This window comes from Homo sapiens, chromosome 11 (assembly GCF_000001405.40).
Source record: "Homo sapiens chromosome 11, GRCh38.p14 Primary Assembly".
In the NCBI taxonomy this organism is placed as follows: Eukaryota; Metazoa; Chordata; class Mammalia; order Primates; family Hominidae; genus Homo; species Homo sapiens.
In genome coordinates this window covers 120,433,454-120,451,896 of record NC_000011.10, presented here as the reverse complement: position 1 = coordinate 120,451,896, position 18,443 = coordinate 120,433,454, and the positions used below count along the sequence as shown (strand labels likewise).

The 18,443-nt window shown below is 37.6% G+C and overlaps 1 protein-coding gene across 19 annotated transcripts in view, besides 6 other annotated features; it reads right to left on the bottom strand.

Moving 5' to 3' along the window:
• The window catches only part of ARHGEF12 (Rho guanine nucleotide exchange factor 12), a 153,525-nt gene that overhangs the window by 38,041 nt on the left and 97,041 nt on the right, over positions 1-18,443 (bottom strand). For 13 of the 19 annotated variants that reach the window (NM_015313.3, XM_047426659.1, NM_001198665.2 and 10 more), the window contains 11 exons: positions 14,515-14,589; positions 11,676-11,768; positions 10,080-10,190; positions 9,695-9,793; positions 6,433-6,475; positions 5,389-5,494; positions 4,812-4,949; positions 3,991-4,023; positions 3,549-3,663; positions 2,683-2,788; positions 173-385 (listed from right to left, as the gene is read on the bottom strand). In NM_015313.3, coding sequence (NP_056128.1) covers positions 173-385; positions 2,683-2,788; positions 3,549-3,663; positions 3,991-4,023; positions 4,812-4,949; positions 5,389-5,494; positions 6,433-6,475; positions 9,695-9,793; positions 10,080-10,190; positions 11,676-11,768; positions 14,515-14,589 — 1,132 coding nt within the window. The remainder of the gene's footprint in view (positions 1-172; positions 386-2,682; positions 2,789-3,548; positions 3,664-3,990; positions 4,024-4,811; positions 4,950-5,388; positions 5,495-6,432; positions 6,476-9,694; positions 9,794-10,079; positions 10,191-11,675; positions 11,769-14,514; positions 14,590-18,443) is intronic. The other 6 variants (XM_006718805.4, XM_047426661.1, XM_047426660.1 and 3 more) reach the window with 1 other exon arrangement.
• Positions 8,635-8,779: an enhancer, noted in NCBI's record as "145 bp 11:120313899 sequence used in MPRA reporter constructs". NCBI's record gives its function as "activates a minimal TATA-containing promoter with rs11217869 allelic activity by MPRAs in C283T melanocytes {active_cell/tissue: C283T}" and the evidence as "EXISTENCE:reporter gene assay evidence [ECO:0000049][PMID:36423637]".
• Position 8,707: a transcriptional cis regulatory region, noted in NCBI's record as "rs11217869 or 11:120313899 MPRA-significant variant associated with a GWAS melanoma risk locus at 11q23.3". NCBI's record gives its function as "allelic transcriptional activity by MPRAs in C283T melanocytes {active_cell/tissue: C283T}" and the evidence as "EXISTENCE:reporter gene assay evidence [ECO:0000049][PMID:36423637]".
• Positions 15,775-15,919: an enhancer, noted in NCBI's record as "145 bp 11:120306759 sequence used in MPRA reporter constructs". NCBI's record gives its function as "activates a minimal TATA-containing promoter with rs57912596 allelic activity by MPRAs in C283T melanocytes and UACC903 melanoma cells {active_cell/tissue: C283T | UACC903}" and the evidence as "EXISTENCE:reporter gene assay evidence [ECO:0000049][PMID:36423637]".
• Position 15,847: a transcriptional cis regulatory region, noted in NCBI's record as "rs57912596 or 11:120306759 MPRA-significant variant associated with a GWAS melanoma risk locus at 11q23.3". NCBI's record gives its function as "allelic transcriptional activity by MPRAs in C283T melanocytes and UACC903 melanoma cells {active_cell/tissue: C283T | UACC903}" and the evidence as "EXISTENCE:reporter gene assay evidence [ECO:0000049][PMID:36423637]".
• Positions 16,747-16,891: an enhancer, noted in NCBI's record as "145 bp 11:120305787 sequence used in MPRA reporter constructs". NCBI's record gives its function as "activates a minimal TATA-containing promoter with rs11217868 allelic activity by MPRAs in C283T melanocytes {active_cell/tissue: C283T}" and the evidence as "EXISTENCE:reporter gene assay evidence [ECO:0000049][PMID:36423637]".
• Position 16,819: a transcriptional cis regulatory region, noted in NCBI's record as "rs11217868 or 11:120305787 MPRA-significant variant associated with a GWAS melanoma risk locus at 11q23.3". NCBI's record gives its function as "allelic transcriptional activity by MPRAs in C283T melanocytes {active_cell/tissue: C283T}" and the evidence as "EXISTENCE:reporter gene assay evidence [ECO:0000049][PMID:36423637]".

Here is an 18,443-nt window from a genome sequence, read left to right as displayed (position 1 = left end):
GAACTTAAGTTATCATTCGGCATAGATTTCTTATTGGTTGTAGCATATTAAAATGTCAAAATTAAATTAAACTGGGATTTAGTCTTGATTAACTTGCCACTCTATTTTTCAGTTAGTGTGTTTGTTTTAAAATCTTGATGCTTAGTTAAGCTGAACTACAGTAATAGCTCACCTGTATCATTCTCTTTCCCTCCTTCCTGGGAAAAAGAGGCCCCTGAAGCTACAGAAGACATGGAATTGGCAGGCAGGTATCCAGCGTCTGTTCCTTCATTTGCTAACCCACTCTGGCGCAACTTGGCAGAGTCCTGAGGTTCAGGACTCACAGATGAGGGTGTGGATAAGTGCTTAGGGTGGCGCGCCTTCTGTAGTTCCATGGCTCTGCCAACTGATCAGAAAATGATGGTTAATAATCTGTATTGCGGCTGGGTGCGGTGGCTCAAGCCTATAATCCCAACACTTTGGGAGGCCAAGGTGGGCGAATCATGAGGTCAGGAGATCGAGACCATCCTGGCTAATATGGTGAAACCCCGTCTCTATTAAAAATACAAAAATTAGCTGGGCGTGGTGGCACATGCCTGTAATCCCAGCTACTCGGAAGGCTGAGGCAGGAGAATCGCTCCAACCCGGGAGGCGGAGGTTGCAGTGAGCCGAAATTGCGCCACTGCACTCCAGCCTGGGTGACAGAGCAAGACTCCGTCTCAAAAATAAATAAATAAAATAAATAAAATAATCTGCATTGCAAATTAGCTAAAAGCAAAAAAGGACAATGTAAAAGAATCTGGTAAAATGTGTGAAACATGGTAGACCCTAAAAAATATATATAGTGGATTGTTATGCAGAGAAACATACAGACAGACAGATGAAGGAAGGAAGAAGAAAAGAGAGAAAGGGAGAGGAAGGTAGAGCAGAAAGATGAGGAGATGGAGGAGGGGTGAGGCAGGACGACGAAAGCGAGGAAGAGGAGGATGTAGGGAAAGAAGAAGGGTCATGAGAAAAGAAGGAGAGGAATGGTGGACAGAGGGAGGAGGAATGCTGAGAGACATGGAGCTGTGTTCATTTGTAAGAATGAAGATGAAGTCTTTATTTTTGTGAGTTCTTAGTAAGCTCCCACCCCAGTTCTCCCCCAACACTCACACCTTCATCATCATAATGTACCTCAAAGACCATCCAGACCAATCCCCATCCTGCTAATTATCCTTGTTCACAAAGTCACCACAAGAAGCCAAAGACTCCCACTCAGGTGTTCAATATCCAAAGCATCCTACACCCTCACACAACTTTTTATACCCTAATCTCTTAATTCCTCAAATTCTTCTTTTGTATACCTTGGAACTCACGGTTAGCATCTGTGAAATCCTCCATCTCTTTAACTTCCTCTAAAAATTTCACACCTTCTCAATGTTTCTCAACAAGAGGCACTCATGGCATTTGAGGGAGAACTCGTCATTGTGGGGGACACTCACTATCACAATCCTACTCCCACCACTCTACCATGCCAATATCTTTTTTTTTTTTTTTTTTTTTTTGAGACAGTGTTTCACTCTGTCACCCAGGCTGGAGTTTAGTGGCGAGATGATGGCTCACAGCAGCCTGGACTCCCCAGACTAAAGCAATACTACCTCAGCCTCCCAGGTAGCTCAGACTACACACATGCACCATGATACACAGCTTATTTTGGCTGTTCTTGTTGTAGAGGCAGGGTCTCACTATGTAGCTCAGGCTGGTCTCGAACTCCCAGGCTCAAGTGATCCTCCCGCCTTGGCCTTGCAAAGTGCTGGAATTACAATCAAGAGTCACCGCACCTGGCTTCAGTATTTTCAAATGTGCTACTGCCTGAGATAAGAACCATCACATGACCCCTCCCCATGGTACCACCATCCCTATTTCTCCTGCAGCCATCTCAAGTGAGCTTATCTCTCTTTATTGGGCCTGGGGTGAAAGGGAAATCAGAAAATAAAGTACAATGGAGAGGTGGAGAAATTTTAGAAATATGGAGACTAAGTAAATATGTATAAAGAGACGTTCAGTGTGGTGGAGAGATCTATACACACTTTTTTTTTTTAATTTAACAAACACAAGTTGAATGGAAACAGAATCAGAAGAGGTAAGTAAACTATGTTACGGACATTTGACAGAATACTGCCACTAAAGATGTGTGTTTTCGTTTTTTTTTTTTCTTTTCTTTTTGTTTTATTGAGGCAGAGTCTCGCTCCAGTGTCACCCAGGCTTGAGTGCAGTGGTGCAATCTCGGCTCACTACAACCTCTGCCTCCCAGGTTCAAGCAATTCTCCTACCTCAGCCTCCCGAGTAGCTGGGACTACAGGCGCATGCCACCACGCCTGGCTAATTGTTGGTATTTTTAGTAGAGACAGGCTTCATTGTGTTAGCCAGGATGGTCTCGATCTCCTGAACTTGTGATCCGCCTGCCTCAGCCTCCCAAACTGCTGGGATTACAGGCGTGAATCACCACGCCCAGCCCACGAAAGATGTTTATGACAATTATGTAGCAACATAGGGGGTACTTAGTTCAGAAATAACGCTGAATGGAAACAAGGCATATTGGGAATTCAGTAAAATCATCCTAACAACTCCTTTCTCCAGAAATTCATTCTAGCTGAAGAAGCCTCTGATGTGAAGAGGGCCTGGAGTACTGAAAATGCAGCACTTCAAACTTCAACATACTTGCACTGTTGTCATGACGGCTTGGTCTCCGTGGGGGTCCCAGGATGCTGGGGAATCCTCTTCGCTTCCCTTTTTCTTCCCCTTCTTTATCTTTCTTCATACTTTGCTAGAGTTGAAGTACAAAAAATAAGAGATACGTAACAGAGTAAATTTCTTTTGCGATTTTCATAGTGTAATGCTAATGGTTAGTTCAAAGAAATTGTTAAGTGTAAATGAAAACCCGTACACGTGTGTATGCACACAGAGCACTAATTAAAAGTTCGCACACAGTACCGTGTACACCTCAAACTCAAGATGTTTTCTTCAAACTCTTTATCACTGACAGCTTTGGAAAATCAAAGGGTAGTTTTATAGCACATTTACCAGGAACTTATTCTAAACAATTCATTCATCCATTCAACAAATATTTACTAAGCATTTTGCTAACAGTTGAAAATACAATAATAAAGAAGGTCCTTGTACTCATACAGCTTTACAATCTAGTAAACACTAAACAAAAACACAAATAATTACAAACTGACAGAATACTCTACTGCCACTAAAGATGTTCATGACGATTATGTAGCAACACAGGGGGTATTTAGTTTAGGCAAAGTAAAAGGAAAGTATAAGGCATGAACAGAATCAGAAATAGCACTCTTTGTAAACTGCTAATTTCACTTTTCACATTGTCTAATAATAGTTTATATGTCTGGATTTCTCACTGTATTTTGAGTTTCTTGAGAACAGAGACAGTATCTTATAAATGTTTGTATGACTAGCATTAATTTGCTGATTAAGTAAATACTAAGATGATGGAAGACACTGCAACCAAATGTAAAGAAGCCCTAAGGCCTGAACATGCTATTACATTATTTCATTCTTACCTTGATTTTGGGAAGAAATCCAATCCGACCCCGTTTGTGCTCCAAATTTCGAGGCTCTTTCACTTTTACTCCCAAATGCTTCATATACATGAGAATAACATACTGCATGGTGGAGCTGGAGGAGAAAGGACGAAGTAAATTAAGACTTCTGAGAAGGGAGGGTTGGTAGAATAAAGACATCAAATGATTTCCAAAACCCCAAGGTTGGAATTATTGAAATAAATCAAACAAACACTAAAGAACTAACTAGTCATTGCACAGAGAAGAGAATTCTACTCAGGACAACAGTAGAATATTAGTCAAATAACATACAAGCCACCAGAGAGAGACCACAAACTGTATTTGTAAGTTAAAAGAAATAAATTGTAATTTAGGACTGAAAGGAAAAAAACATAGTTCTTTTTTTCTTAAAATTCTAGGGGAAAAAAAACAGTTATGTTACCTCTTATCTTCCTCTACAGCCTGAGCAGTCATCCTTAAAAAAAAGAAAAAAAAATTTAAAAATGAAATATGGAAGTTTAATTAATTTTTTTGAGACAGAGTCTCACTCTGCCACCCAGGCTGGAGTGCAATGGCATGATCCTGGCTCACTGCAACCTCCGCCTCCTGGGCGCAAGTGATTCTCGTGCCTCAGCCTTCTGAGTAGCTGGGATTACAGGAGTGCCACCATGCCTGGCTAATTTTGGGGTTTTTAGTAGAGATGGGGTTTCACCATGTTGGCCAGCTTGGTCTCGAACTCTTGGCCTTACGTAATCCGCCCGCTCGGCCTCCCAAAGTGCTGGGATTACAGGAGTGCGCCACCATGCCTGGCCTTAAAAATTGTTATTAACTCAGATACCTGAAATAACAGAACAGAGCCAAATGCTTTGGGCCACACCCTAGAATAAAATACCAAAAGAACCCTGATCCCCTAAAGAACCTTATCTGTTTCACCCTCATGTCACCAACTGTATATGCTTCATGGCAAGAAATATTTCCAAGGCCTATAAATTGAAAATAATGAAAGTAATCAACCTGTTTTTGATCACTGATTAGAAGTTTTAGAGTTACCCATTTACCACCACCCAGAAAAAGGAACACAAGAAATTTATCTAAAAGTATCAGAAAAAAGAAAAAAAAAATCCAGTTTCTCAAGTACTATGACAAAATAAACGGCTCCACATACACAATCTGACAGTTTTTCTAAACCTACCCAAAGGACACTTCAAGCATAACTAGTATCTCAGCAGAGAGGGCATTTCCACATATACTTCTATTACTTACAATACTTCTTCAATTTTGGCAACAATCTGTTCTGCACATGTCCGCTCCTTCTCCAAAGTCAATCGGTCCTTGTCTCGCTCTGCATCAAGTTTAGTCAGCTCGCTTTCAGCCAAGGTCAGTCCCATACTACGTTTCTGCCTGAAGGGAATAGAGAAGTTTCCTGAGGTAGCCTAAAGAAAAACTACCTCATTCTGGGGACGCTTCATCACAGTCTTCACAGCTATGGTTTCTAGGAACAGGAAAAATGTCACTTTTCCACTTATGGGTCCATGTCATCTAGGATACCAGAGGAAAAAATTCTAGAAGCAATGACTCCAAGAACACATACAATATCTTAAAGGAACACACTTAGCATAGACACAGCACTGAGCTCAGATCCTGCAAGTGCCTGGAATGGAGAGTCTGGACTCTCAGTTCCACTCTAACCCTTTGGCTCCAGATGTTCATTATGTTTTAATAACAATAAGACCATATGGTTTATCTAGTGCTAAGCTAAGTATTTAATGAGCAACTTTTTCTTAACTAAAAAAATTAATTTAGAATAATCATATGAAATTCTATCTACCACTAAGCTTACCGAAAATCTTCTAAGTGCCTTTGAACTTCTGGATGGACTCTTTCTTGCATAGTTTGGATATAGTGGCGATGCAGATCCTCAGGAATGAGCTCAGGTCTTCTCTTTTCTTCATAAATGAAAGGAATTATGTTATCTAAAGGTATGTTCTGGGCAACATACAATTGGCAACATAGCAATGCTACTTCGTACAAATTAACTTAGAATATGCCAGAGGGAAGTTCTTCAGGGCAGTTCGTATATTTCATCCCAGAATTCTGATTTCATTTACTCTATTATTATTATTATTATTATTATTATTATTATTATTATTTGAGATGGAGTCTTGCTCTGTTGCCCAGGCTGGAGTGCAGTGGCGCGATCTCAGCTCACTGCAAGCTCCACCTCCGGGGTTCATGCCATTCTCCTGCCTCAGCCTCCTGAGTAGCTGAGACAACAGGCGCCCGCCACCACGCCCAGCTACTTTTTTGTTTTTTAGTAGAGACAAGGTTTCACTGTGTTAGCCAGGATGGTCGATCTCCTGACCTCGTGATCCACCCGCCTCGGCCTCCCAAAGTGCTGGGAGTACTACAGGCGTGAGCCACTGCGCCCAGCCATATTATTATTTTTTTTGAGACAGAGTTTTGCTCTTATCACCCAGGCTGGAGTGTTAATGGCATAATCTCAGCTCACTGCAACCTCCGCCTCCTGTGTTCAAGCAATTCTCCTGCCTCAGCCTCCTAAGTAGCTGGGATTACAGGCATGCACCATCATGCCAGCTCATTTTTGTATTTTCAGTAGAAACAGGGTTCCACCATGTTGGCAAGGCTGGTCTCGAACTCTTGACCTCAGGTAATCCACCCACCTTGGCCTTCCAAAGTGCTGGGATTACAGGCGTGAGCCACTACGCCCGGCCTCATTTACTCTTTAAATGTATTATAGACTGTCTTTCTGTTGTGATTCAGGTGATCGACTAGTCACCATGTGACAGATAAAACCTGAACAGATGAGCTGAGCTACATATCTATTAAGATGTAATTCTCCAGGATGTTAGTGCTCCAAGCTTACCTAGATCTGCAGACATTTCATCAGGAACAGAAACTTTCAGGTGCTAAAATGAAATGCAAACAAAAGGTGTAACAACGCTAAAGATATTTGAAGATGTACATAAGTACTTCTGTAAAGTAAGGGGATACAACTTGGATACCCACTCTACAAGCACAATCAAGTACAAGCTCATTTATTCATTCACATTTCACAACTCCAGAACATTCTATCGTTTAAACTTGAAAATGAGCCCTTTTCCCGAGGATCATGCTATAAAGGAAAAGTCTACAGTCGTTTAGCTAGATGACTGAATGCTTCTGTGACACACTTAATGAATATACTGGCTTTGGCTTTGGCTTCCTAGAATCATTGGTCAATATAATCAGTTATATGTCATTTAGATCAATATAGGTAAAACCTAAATTATGTGTATATTATCATATGAAAAATGTACTCACATATAGCCATGATTTTTCTTTCCTATATTTGAGATGCTCATTCTGAAGACCAATAATATTCCTAATCGTTTTCCTATGTAAAGTTTAAGAGCCCTCACAATGTCACACTCCCAGTGAGAAAATATTGAATGTCAATGTTGAGTTTTTGGAGTTTTAAATCTCCAGCAACCATCTACAGTTCTTGCTACTGAACCAAATAAGGTGACTATCTTAGAATTTACTTATTCCTAGCTAGGATTTTCCCCATAATATTTGCATAATAATTACCAGTCTGTTGTTTTCCCCCACCCCCAAACTAATGGAGGGGAATACTTTATTATTTTGCATTAAGAGAAAATATCTTAACCTCTTCCTGCTTATTTTGTATTGTATACCTATTTAAGTCATACAATTTCAGAATTTAAACACATCCTATAAGATCTGAAGTTTTAAATTTGAAAATAAGTCACCGCTAAAAATTGTAAGATCTCTTTATATTCATTTGAAGAAAAGTAAAATGGATTTTAAAACTTTCTCTTTGACAGGCAGTAGCTCAAATCAACTTTCTTAAAAGCATTTCTAGCTCAAGTGCAAAAAAGTAATAAAAGCTCATTTCTGTATGATGGTGTATATATGAAATAAATGTGAGCTGTAGCATAAAAGTATAATTAGCAAATTAATCAAAGTGTAAGGATTCTTCTTATACTTTAATATTGATATATAGATCATGTGTAGCAAAATGTAAAGTTTTGACTTAGCTTGGTGCCCTCTTAAGAAATGCAAAATTCAAACATGCTTCAATATATTGTCATTTTTTTAGGAAAGTAAATTATTTTAATAAAAATAACACAATATTTTAAACAATGGGAGTAGGATCAGAACACTAATTCACTTAACACATACTTAAGTGACCCCGCTATGTCCCAGGAACTGTTCAGTGTTAGGGACACAGCAGTGAACAAACAGAATAAAAATATCTGGCCTAATAAAACTTATATTCAGGGTAGGAGAGTAGGAATATAGTCATCCCTTGATATCCACATGGGGTACCGGTTCTAGGAACCCCCATGGATACTAAAATCAGCGAACTCTCAAGTCCGTTGTACAAAATGGCACTGTATTTGCATATAACCTATGCACATCTTGCTGTATACTTTAAATCTCTAGATTAATTATAATACCTAATACAATGTAAACGCTATGCAAATAGTTGTTATACTATATTTTTAAAAAATTGTTTCATTTTTTATTGTGGTATTGGCTTTTGTTTTTTTCCTTGAATATTTTCAACCATGGTTAGTTGAATTCGTGGAAGCTGCAGGCACAGAAGACTGACTGTGTAAACAAACTAACTAACTAAATAAAAGTTCTATGGACAAAAATAATAGAAAAAGTGACAAAGTGAAAGGGTTGAGATTTTAAGTAGGTTGGTTAGGAAAGTCACTGAGTAGGTAATTGAATGTGAAAGTGTACAGACAATTTTGTAAAGGCATACAAAGAAAACGGGGCAGGAGTTGGAGGGAGAAGTAGAGCCAAAATGTGTGTTTGTTTTTAGAAAGGGAAAATAACAACATTTGCAGACTAATGTGAATGATTATCTGTAGAAAATATAAAACCGATGATGCAGGAGAAGGGAGGATAATTGTTAGAGTAAGATCTTTGAGTAGGTATAAGGAAATACACTGTAAACTGGAGCAGAGCTGGCCTTGGATAAAAGATGGACAATCAAGGCCAGGTGCGGTGGCTCATGCCTGTAATCGCAGCACTTTGAGAGGATGAAGCAGGCAGATTGCTTGAGCCTAGGAGTTCAAGACCAGCCTGGGCAACATGGCGAAACCCCGGCTCTACAAAATACAAAAATTAGCCAGGCATGATGGTGTACACCTGTAGTCCCAGCTACTTGGGAGGCTGAGGCAGGAGGATCACTTGAGCCCAGGAGGCAGAGCTTCCAGTGAGGTGCAATCGTGCCACTGTGCTCCAGCCTGGGCAACAGAGCAAGACTCTGTCTCAAAAAAAAAAAAAAAAAAGACAGTCACTCCATAGCATCAGGAGAAAGAGTAGAGTACATGGTATGGTATAATGAGGGCAGATGATACATCTGGTAGAAGTTCTCTTCTATATACTTTAAATTTCTCAGAGAAACAATAAGGTCAAGGTTATCAGCTGAGAAAGGACTAGGAAAGGAAGTGATGGAGGTTTTAGGAGGGAAAAAGCATGAGGCAGTCGTCTAAGGGAACTGCAAATGTGAAAGGACTAGGGACCTGCGGCATGATTATCCAGTATGCATTAAGGGCTAGGTGCTATTTACCCATAACAAGACTAATAATAAAACTTACTACTTTAAAAACCTTATTAACACTTTTAATGACAAAATATAACGTTATCATCATTTATTTCAGTGTAAGTGAAATCTTTTCTGCCACTTTTTAGTTAAAATTATGCCTCCAAACTTCAAAGAGGCCACCCAGAGTTCAGTTATTCAAGTATTATTCCTTGGGTCTTAATATATATGTATTCCCTTTTTCATTTCCTCACTCTAATTATGCACATGCAAAAAACACAAATATGTGTGTGTGTGTGTGTGTATATATATGTGTGTGTGTGTGTGTGTGTGTGTGTGTATATATATATATATAATCCCCTAAAACCTACTGTGAGAATTCATATGCCTAAACTACTTTAGAAATGATAAAAAAAAAAAAGTCTAGAGTAATCAATAATTGAAATATAATACAGGTGTGAGAAAGCACAGTAAAATCCAAAAACATGGGAGGGAAGATAGGAAGCAGGAGGACAATAATTCCATGTACTAAGGCAAAGATTACAACATTAACTTGGCAACTTACTGCTGATCGATCTAGAAAGAACTGATGAAACTCAAGGAAGATGCGACGAGTTTCTTTGGAATTGGTATGTTTATACAGGTCTGAATAGAGATAACAGAGCTGTAGTGGAGAAAGGAATGAAAAAGACAAAATGAGGAACCATGAAAAATGTAATTTGCTAGGTCACCATTGAGTAGGAATGTCTGGAACAGGTAGGTCACCATAAACAATGTAGTTATTACTATATAACCAAGTCTTTAAAAATAATGTTTTAATTATCTTTTGTATCTGTCTTTATACGGAAAACTGAAAGAAGTCTGCCCACTCGTTGTATAGCTAGGAAAAGTTCTATGGCACATGAATCAACAGAAGAACTCTGAATCTGCTAGATTGTAAAATATATTACCAAAGTCGCAGGGTCAAATTGTGAAACTACATGGTGTAAGAAAACAGCCAAATGAGCCGGGCGAGATTTTAGTAATTCAATGCTCTGGAAACAGCTGCACTGTCCATTGATCTAGAGGAAGAAATGATTATGCATCAGTAACTCCAACATACAAATACTAAATGCAAAGTAGGCTCAATTGAACATAGCTATCCAAATTTCACTTTGATCTCCCTATAAAAAATTCAAGATTTAAAAAACTTCACTAAAATTTATTAGCAACAGAAGCTATGGAATCTCTTTCTGTGAACATTAACCACCTCTTGGGGATAGGTTAGAAGAAAGACCACTGTGGGAGAACGGAAATTTAGGAGACGATTATCAAGTAGCTCGGATGTATACAAATCAGTATGTAAAAAACAGTCTAACATTTCTAGAAATGCAGTGGAAGGCTTTTTGCCCAATCATAAAATAGCTGTTTATCCTTTTCTTCTGGGCTAATTGCAGAAATGGTGGGAAATGAAGTTGTATGATTTTAAGTAAGACAAATCCTAGAATATTTGTATAATCCCTAAATATACTGAACACAGAAAACAATAATAATGTAAACTAGCATCACAATTTTCATATTCCCAAATCATTCTAAAGACCAGCATTACCCCCAACTATCAAACCAGACAAAGGTATTACAAAAAGAAAAACAACACACCAATATCCTTCATCAACAAAGATGTAAAAAATCCTCAGTAAAATATGGCAAATTGAAACCGACAATATATAAAAGGGATAACATATCATGACCAACTGAGGTTCATTCCAGGAATGCGAGACTAGTTTAATATTCTAATATCAATCAACATAACTTACCATATTAATAGACAATCAGAAAAACCACATAATAATCTCATTCCACAAAATTCAACATCCAGTGATGATAAAAACTCTCAGCAAACCAGGAGTATTCCTTAACCTAATAACCCTTAACCTTATAAAGAGCCTCTAAAAAATACTTATAGCTAACATCATACTTAATGATGAAAGACTGAGTGTTTTCTCCCTAATAGCAGGAATAAGGCAAGCATGTCTTGTCACTCTGATTCAACCTCATAGTGGAAGTCCTAGCCAGTGCAATAAAGGCAAGAACAAGAAATAAAAGATAAACAGCTTGAAAATAAGGAAATAAAAACTATAGACAACATATTTATCTATGTAGAAAACTCCAAAAGACTTATTTTTAAAAGCACCAAGAAATAATAAGTGAATTTAGCAAGATCACAGGATACAAGGACAAGAATCTAGCTAATCATATTCCTTTATAGCACCAATGAACTGGGATTTGAAATTTTTTTTAAAAATACTATTTTAAGAAACACACTCAACCCCAATAAAATGAAGTACTTAAACATATATTAATGATCTCTCACTGGCTTTAAAAGCAAGGTCATTTCTGTTGGTCAAAGCTAAAATAAGCAATTAACCCAAGGAGCTATTGGTTCTAAGATTTAGCTTCAAATCCTTACAAATGTTATCTTAATCTCCAGAACGTGCTCATTTTTGCAACAAATCAGATATTGCAGAAAGTAACAATCTATTTTTTAGAAAGAAAAAAGTCATCACCTGTTCATGTTCAGTACCAAAATCATCATCTTCTGCTCCAATAATATGAGGTGCTATACGGGTTGAGGGACTTCCGACAAGTGATTGAGTGTCCTGGCAACATTCAGGGAAAAGAAACAGAAAAATTACCTGGTGGTCAAATTTAGAAAAAGAATAAAGCCAACCCATCAAAAAGACATGGTTCACTTAAATGGTGAGATTTCTTTTTGTTTATTTCCTTTGAAGTACTTTATTTTCAAAGTAGGGGTTCACAAATTTTCAAGGCCATGTACCACTCTGGCAGAGAAAAAGACCACAACAACGAGTTTTTTTTGGGGGGAAAAAACCACTCCCCTTGGAAACAGTAAATATCCTTTGCTCACTATACACTTGGTTATCTGACTTTAACACTTTCTGTACACTTCTGTACATTCTTTTATTAATTCATACATACTTAAAACTTCTTACAGAAAAAAATAAAGTTGGCTTACATAAATGGTTACAATTAAAAAATTAAAGAAAAAGTGAATGAAGACAATAGGAGAAAGGAAAAATAAGAGCAGAAATGGTAAGACAAAGTTAGCAGAGAGGCTAATATACCTGAGAAGTACTAACCCAAGATTTCCATTAATGATACATAATTGAAGGCTATCATCGAACTCTATGTTTTCATTTTTAATTAATTTTCATAAATGTATAATGCAGGGTTTCTCAACTGCGGCACTGTTGACATTTTGCGCCAGAGAGTTCTTGGCTGTAGGGTCTAGCCCGTGCATTCTAAGACACTTAGCAGCACCCCTGACCTCTATGCACCCACCAGATGCCAGCTGCAGCGTTTCCAGACATTTGTCAAATGTCCACGGAGGCATAATCACTCTTGATTGAAAAATCACTGATACAATGCTCTAAAATCATCAAGTAATCTCACAAACACTGCTATAGAAACAAAGATAACAAAATTCTAAGAATAAATTGTAGATTGTCAGATAGTTTCCCATGCAATAGCTCCTCCATTTGTCAACTCACAAAGTTAGATTCAGCACAAAAACGGCAGTACAGAGGCATTAATATATAAAATAATAAACATGGGTGCTGGGCACGGTAGCTCAGGCCTGTAATCGCAGCACTTTGGGAGGTCAAGGAGGGAGGATCACTTGAGGCCAGGAGTTTGAAACCAGCCTGGGAAAAACAACAAGACCCATCTCTAAAAAAACCAAAATAAATTAGCCAGGCGTGGTGGCGTGTGTCTATAGTCTTAGCTACTTGGGAGGCCAAAGTGGGTACACAGTTTGAGCCCAGGAGTTTGAGGTTACAGTTAACCTCTGTACTGCAGCTTGGGCAACAGAGTAAGACTCTGTCTCATTCATACATATATACATACATAAATACATGCATACATAAATACATACATACATACAGGATGTCTGAAGACCATAAGTACTAAAATTAAAGACCATATAGGATTGGGGAATAAAAATTTTGGAAGAAATAGGAAAAAAATGAGTTTGGCTTAAATCTAACAGCAGTTTAACATTGCAAGATCTGGATGGAGTTCAGCAAAGAAGGGTAGGCCTATGATTTGAGAGTCATTTGCACAGCAGTTATAGTGGCTATAGCTGAAGTTGTATAAACAGATCCGCAAGTTTTAAACTGAGTGAATAATATGTACCTGTAGTTTTTCCTCCTAGTGTTGCAACACTACATATTGAGTCTCCTAAACACAATTCTGCCTTTTAACAACTCTTATTATTTTCTTTAACCTCAAGGCTTTAATATTCCAAAAAAAAATCAGGTGAAACTGGCCGGGCACTGTGGCTCATGCCTATAATCCCAGCACTTTGGGAGGCTGAGGCGGGTGGATCACCTGAGGTCAGGAGTTTGAGAACAGCCTGGCCAACATGGCGAAACTCCCTCTTTAAAAAAAGGAAAAATTAAAAAATTAAAAAAAAGAAATTAGGTGAAACAACATAAATTAGTTTCGAGCAGTAGTCAGACAATTTTGATTTTATAACTGATTTGATGTCTCTGATTTTTCAATAGTCCTTATGTTGCTAACAATAAAAAGATGACAAAATGCTGTTGTATCTTTTACTACAAAACTGTAAATAAATGTAATTAGAAGATAAAATCAGAGTGCTTAAAAGCATGCAATTAAGAATACGTAAGATCAAACAATTCTTCTTCTTGATGAACACCCACAAAAACTGAAGGCAAGGCAGCATATTCACAATAGCAAAAAGTGGAAGCAATCTAAGTACCCACTGACAAACGGACAGATAAACAAAATGTGGTGTATATACATGTCATGGAATATTATTTGGTCTCAAAAAGGACGGAAATTCTGACACATGCTACAACACGGATGAAAGCTGAAGACATATGCTAAGTGAGAGAAGCCAGTCATGAACGGATAAACATTGTATCATTCTTTTTACATGAGTATCTAAAGTAGTCAAATTCATAGAGACAGAAAGTAGAATGGTGGCTGCCAGGGGCTAGGGGGAAGGGGGAAATGTAGACTTAGTGTTTACCGGGTACCAAATTGCAGTTGGAGAAGATGGTTGGCAGTGATGGTCGCACAACAATGTGAATATACTTAATGCCACTATACACTTAAAAATGGTTAAACTAGTACATTTTATGTTACCACCACGACAAATATGAAGGAACCTAAGAATACTTACAAACCATGGAATATCTCTTGACTTATTCAAATCTTTATTAAGTTTCTTTAATAAATTTTAATTTTTTTTCCAAAAAATAAAAAATAAAATATGTAAACATCAGATGTGTCTATACCATACTTTAAGTATAAGGAAAGCCAAAGACAGCACTATCATTGCATGGATTTCATACTCACAGTGTCCTGAATTGTTTCACTTTTCTCTGGGTTTTCCTCTAGATAAATTCTCTCTTTTGGGCCACTCTTGGGACTCTAATGAAAAAAACAAGATCTTCAGTTCATTTCAATAGGCACACCAAAAGGAGATGAGGGAAAAAAGTGTGAAAAAAAAATTGTTCTGAATTTCATATTTGTATTTACAACTACTAAATATCTTTCGTAAAATGCTTGGTTCTGCTACTTTTTCCTTACTTTGGCAAGTCACTTATTCTCTCACCTTTTCAATTTTATATTGATAAACAATACAGAATCAACAAAACAATTTTACCTAATCTCCAGGCCTGGAGGTTACTTTTCTACCAAATAATTAGATATACTGCATACCTCAAACTCATTATGTCAAAATCAAACTCTCTTATCTTCCTTAATCCTTACCTTCTCAAACTATCCTTTCTATCCAAGCTAAAAGCATTTTGCCCTACTTATGAGTACAATTAAGCTTCTACTATTCTGTTACTCGCTTCATGTGAAAGGTGGATTTTAATACATTTATATGGTATTGTATAATACCTAATACAGTTGTTCTTCAGTGTTTGTGGGGGAATGGATGCTCAAGTCCCTGATATAAAATGGTATAGTATTTGCATACGCAAATCTTCTATATATTTTAAATCATCTCTAGATTACTTATAATACCTAATACAGCATAAATGCTGTATAAATAGTTGTTATACTGTATTGTCTAGGGGATAATGACTAGGAAAAAAGTCTGTGCATATTCAGTACAGATGCATTTCTATCCCTGAATATTTTGATAAATGGTTGGCTGAATCCACAGATGCTGTCCACAAATACTGAGAACTTCTGTATAAAATATGAACTATATGAGACACAGAAACTCACTTTGTGGAGATGAGGAACACCCCAAAGCAACGGGAGACATTCTTTAGAGCAATGAAAATGAGGAACCAGAGACCTAACGAGTGCCAATAGGGAAGATACATTTTACCTATGCATATAGCAAGATATCTTGGTGGTATCACAGATATTTCTGTTACCAAGAGAAAACAGCACTTTCAAATGTATGCCCCACCTTGGAGAAATGAATGACTTTCAGGTCTTGGACAAGATATATAAAAGATTAGAATAATTCTGTCACAAAAAGCAAGAAAGCTATCAAAGATATTGGAGGGGCATGTCAAAAGAACACAGGAGAAAATTTGAGGGGGCTCCCACCAACAAAAGAAAAGAGTAACTCATACTGAAATCTATGAGTTCAAAATATTACACACATATACCCTTCCCACTTGTCACCTTTGGAGTTTGTAAGAGTATCATCTCTCCTGAAAAAACTCTTCTGAAAAGAATCAAGAGAAGTATTTACCCTACATTTTCTGTATAAGCTGTATTTTAGGGTAACCTATTAGCTAGTAAGGGAAATCATTTTTTGTAACATAACTCCATGTAATAAATACAGAAATACTGACAAAATTATAATAATATCCTTTTGAAACTCTGAATTAAACAATGGATCTAGGCATTTTGATCATAAATGGCATGTGAAAACATTTCACAAAAGCTTGGGGGCCGGGAGTGGTGGATCACACCTGTAATCCCAGCACTTTGGGAGGCTGAGGCGGGTGGATCACGAGGTCAGGAGATCGAGACCATCCTGGCTAACACGGTGAAACCCTGTCTCTATTAAAAATACAAAAAAAATTAGCCGGGCATGGTAGCAGACACCTGTAGTCCCAGCTACTCGGAAGGCTGAGGCAGGAGAATGGCACGAACCCGGGAGGCGGAGGTTGCAGTGAGCTGAGATTGCGTCACTGCACTCCAGCCTGGGCAACAGAGCGAGACTCCATCTCAAAAAAAAAAAAAAAAAAAAGCTTGACAGGGGACGTTATAATGAAGGAAATCATGTTGATATCACCTAAACACCTTAAGCTTACAACCACAGTAAGACAGCCATTCACATCCTCATGTGATATAATGAGATGTACATAGTATCATCTATGAATTATTCCAAATAACAACTATCAAACCTAATGTGATCAAGACTTGTAGATTTAACTAGGAGTTTTAAGAAAATTTAGATAAAGGAACATGTCATACGACACCATGAAAATATAATTAGAAAATGGATTGTTTTACTGAACATCTGACTCAATTTCTTTAACAACAACCACAACAACAAATGGCCAAGGAAAAAAAAGAAGGAAACTATTATAAATTATAAAGACTTAAAATGACTTATTAACCAATGGCAATATGAAAGCCTTGACTGGATCCTGAATCAAATAAACTGTAAAAAGATCATTATAAAACAAGGTAATAAAATTGTGTATTGAGAAAATATTAATTCTTAGGATTTAATAAGAATATTATAGCTATATTTTAAAAACTTCTTATCTCTTAGAGAGAGACATATTAATAAACGAATGCCTTGGATTTACTTTAATCTGGTGTTTGGAGGATGTGAGGAATAGGGGGTACAAACAAAACTGCTGAGACTAGGTTCTCAGGGACATGAGGAGGATTATGTTAGTCTTTACTTTTGAATATGTTTAACAATTTTCCAAAATAAATAATTTTTCAAAAATATCACTCACAAACTGAAAATCAAAATGATAGATGCTCTGAATTTCAGATGATGATTTGTTACCAAGTTGCTTCTCTTGTGAGAACTGGGTATCAGGGCATTCTTTAAAGCCTTCTCCAAGGTAAGCAAAAGCAGGGAACTTTCACAAACACCACCAGGAAATTATTTTATAAAAATGAGAAGACAATGAAAAAAGTTAAAAGCACTGATTCAAAAGATAAAATGTAAAACCGCGACTCAAAGTACTGTTAAAACAACAACAAAAGCAGACCGGGTCCTCCATACTTAAAATTGAAACAAACATGGAAATCCATAAGCTAAAAGCAACACATCTTTAGCCTCAGACACTTGTAGAAATTAAACCTGTGTGTTCTGTGTTCAGAAGATAGCCTAGCTTGGACTTTATCATTTCTCACTCGGATTTCCACAATATTCATTTATTTATTTGGCCTCAGTTTCCTCATCTATGAAATGGTGATACTGCTTTTTTAAGATTATTATGAGTGTTAAAAAAGAGTATCTGTAAAGCATTGGGTACAACCTCTGGCACAAAGTAGGTACTGAATAAATGCTAACTATTATCCATTCAGCACACATTTGTTAAAGTTCCTATTAAGCCAAGCAGTCTTCTTTTCTTACAGATCTCCCTCTTTACACCAAATCATTTTCCACAGATATGTTTCTGATGGTGTCTCTCTTCTGCATGCAAGATAAAGCCCACTTTATTCATTGATTTCATGTATTCAAATACTAAGTATCAATTACATGTCAAACAGTCTTAATTGATTGGAATGCCTATTTCTATACTAAACAATTCACTCTTTTTTTTTTACCCACCCCTGAGATGGAGTCTTGCTCTGTCACCCATGCTGGAGTGCAATGGCGCGATCTTGGCTCACTGCAACCTCCGCCTCCCTGGTTCAAGCAGTTCTCCTGCCTCAGACTCTGCAGTAGCTGAGATTACAGGCGTGTGCCACCACACCCAGTTAATTTTTTTTTGTATTTTTAGTAGAGACGGGGTTTCACTATGTTGGCCAGGCTGGTTTTGAACTCCTGACCTTGTGACTGGCCTGCCTTGGCCTCCCAAAGTGCTGGGATTACAGGCGTGATCCACGGCGCCCAGCCAACAATTCACTCTTTTATAAGGTTATATTTCTAAGTCACATGTTTTATTGTAACATTCCTCTAAATACAAGATAAAATTCAAATTTCTCATTCGTATCATTTGCTCTGAATGCCTACAATTTGCTACACTTTGGAAACATAAAGTCAGACAAGACAGTCCCTCTGCTCTCAAGGAACTTCCCATCTCATGGTAGGGACAAGCCATGAAAACAGCGAGGAG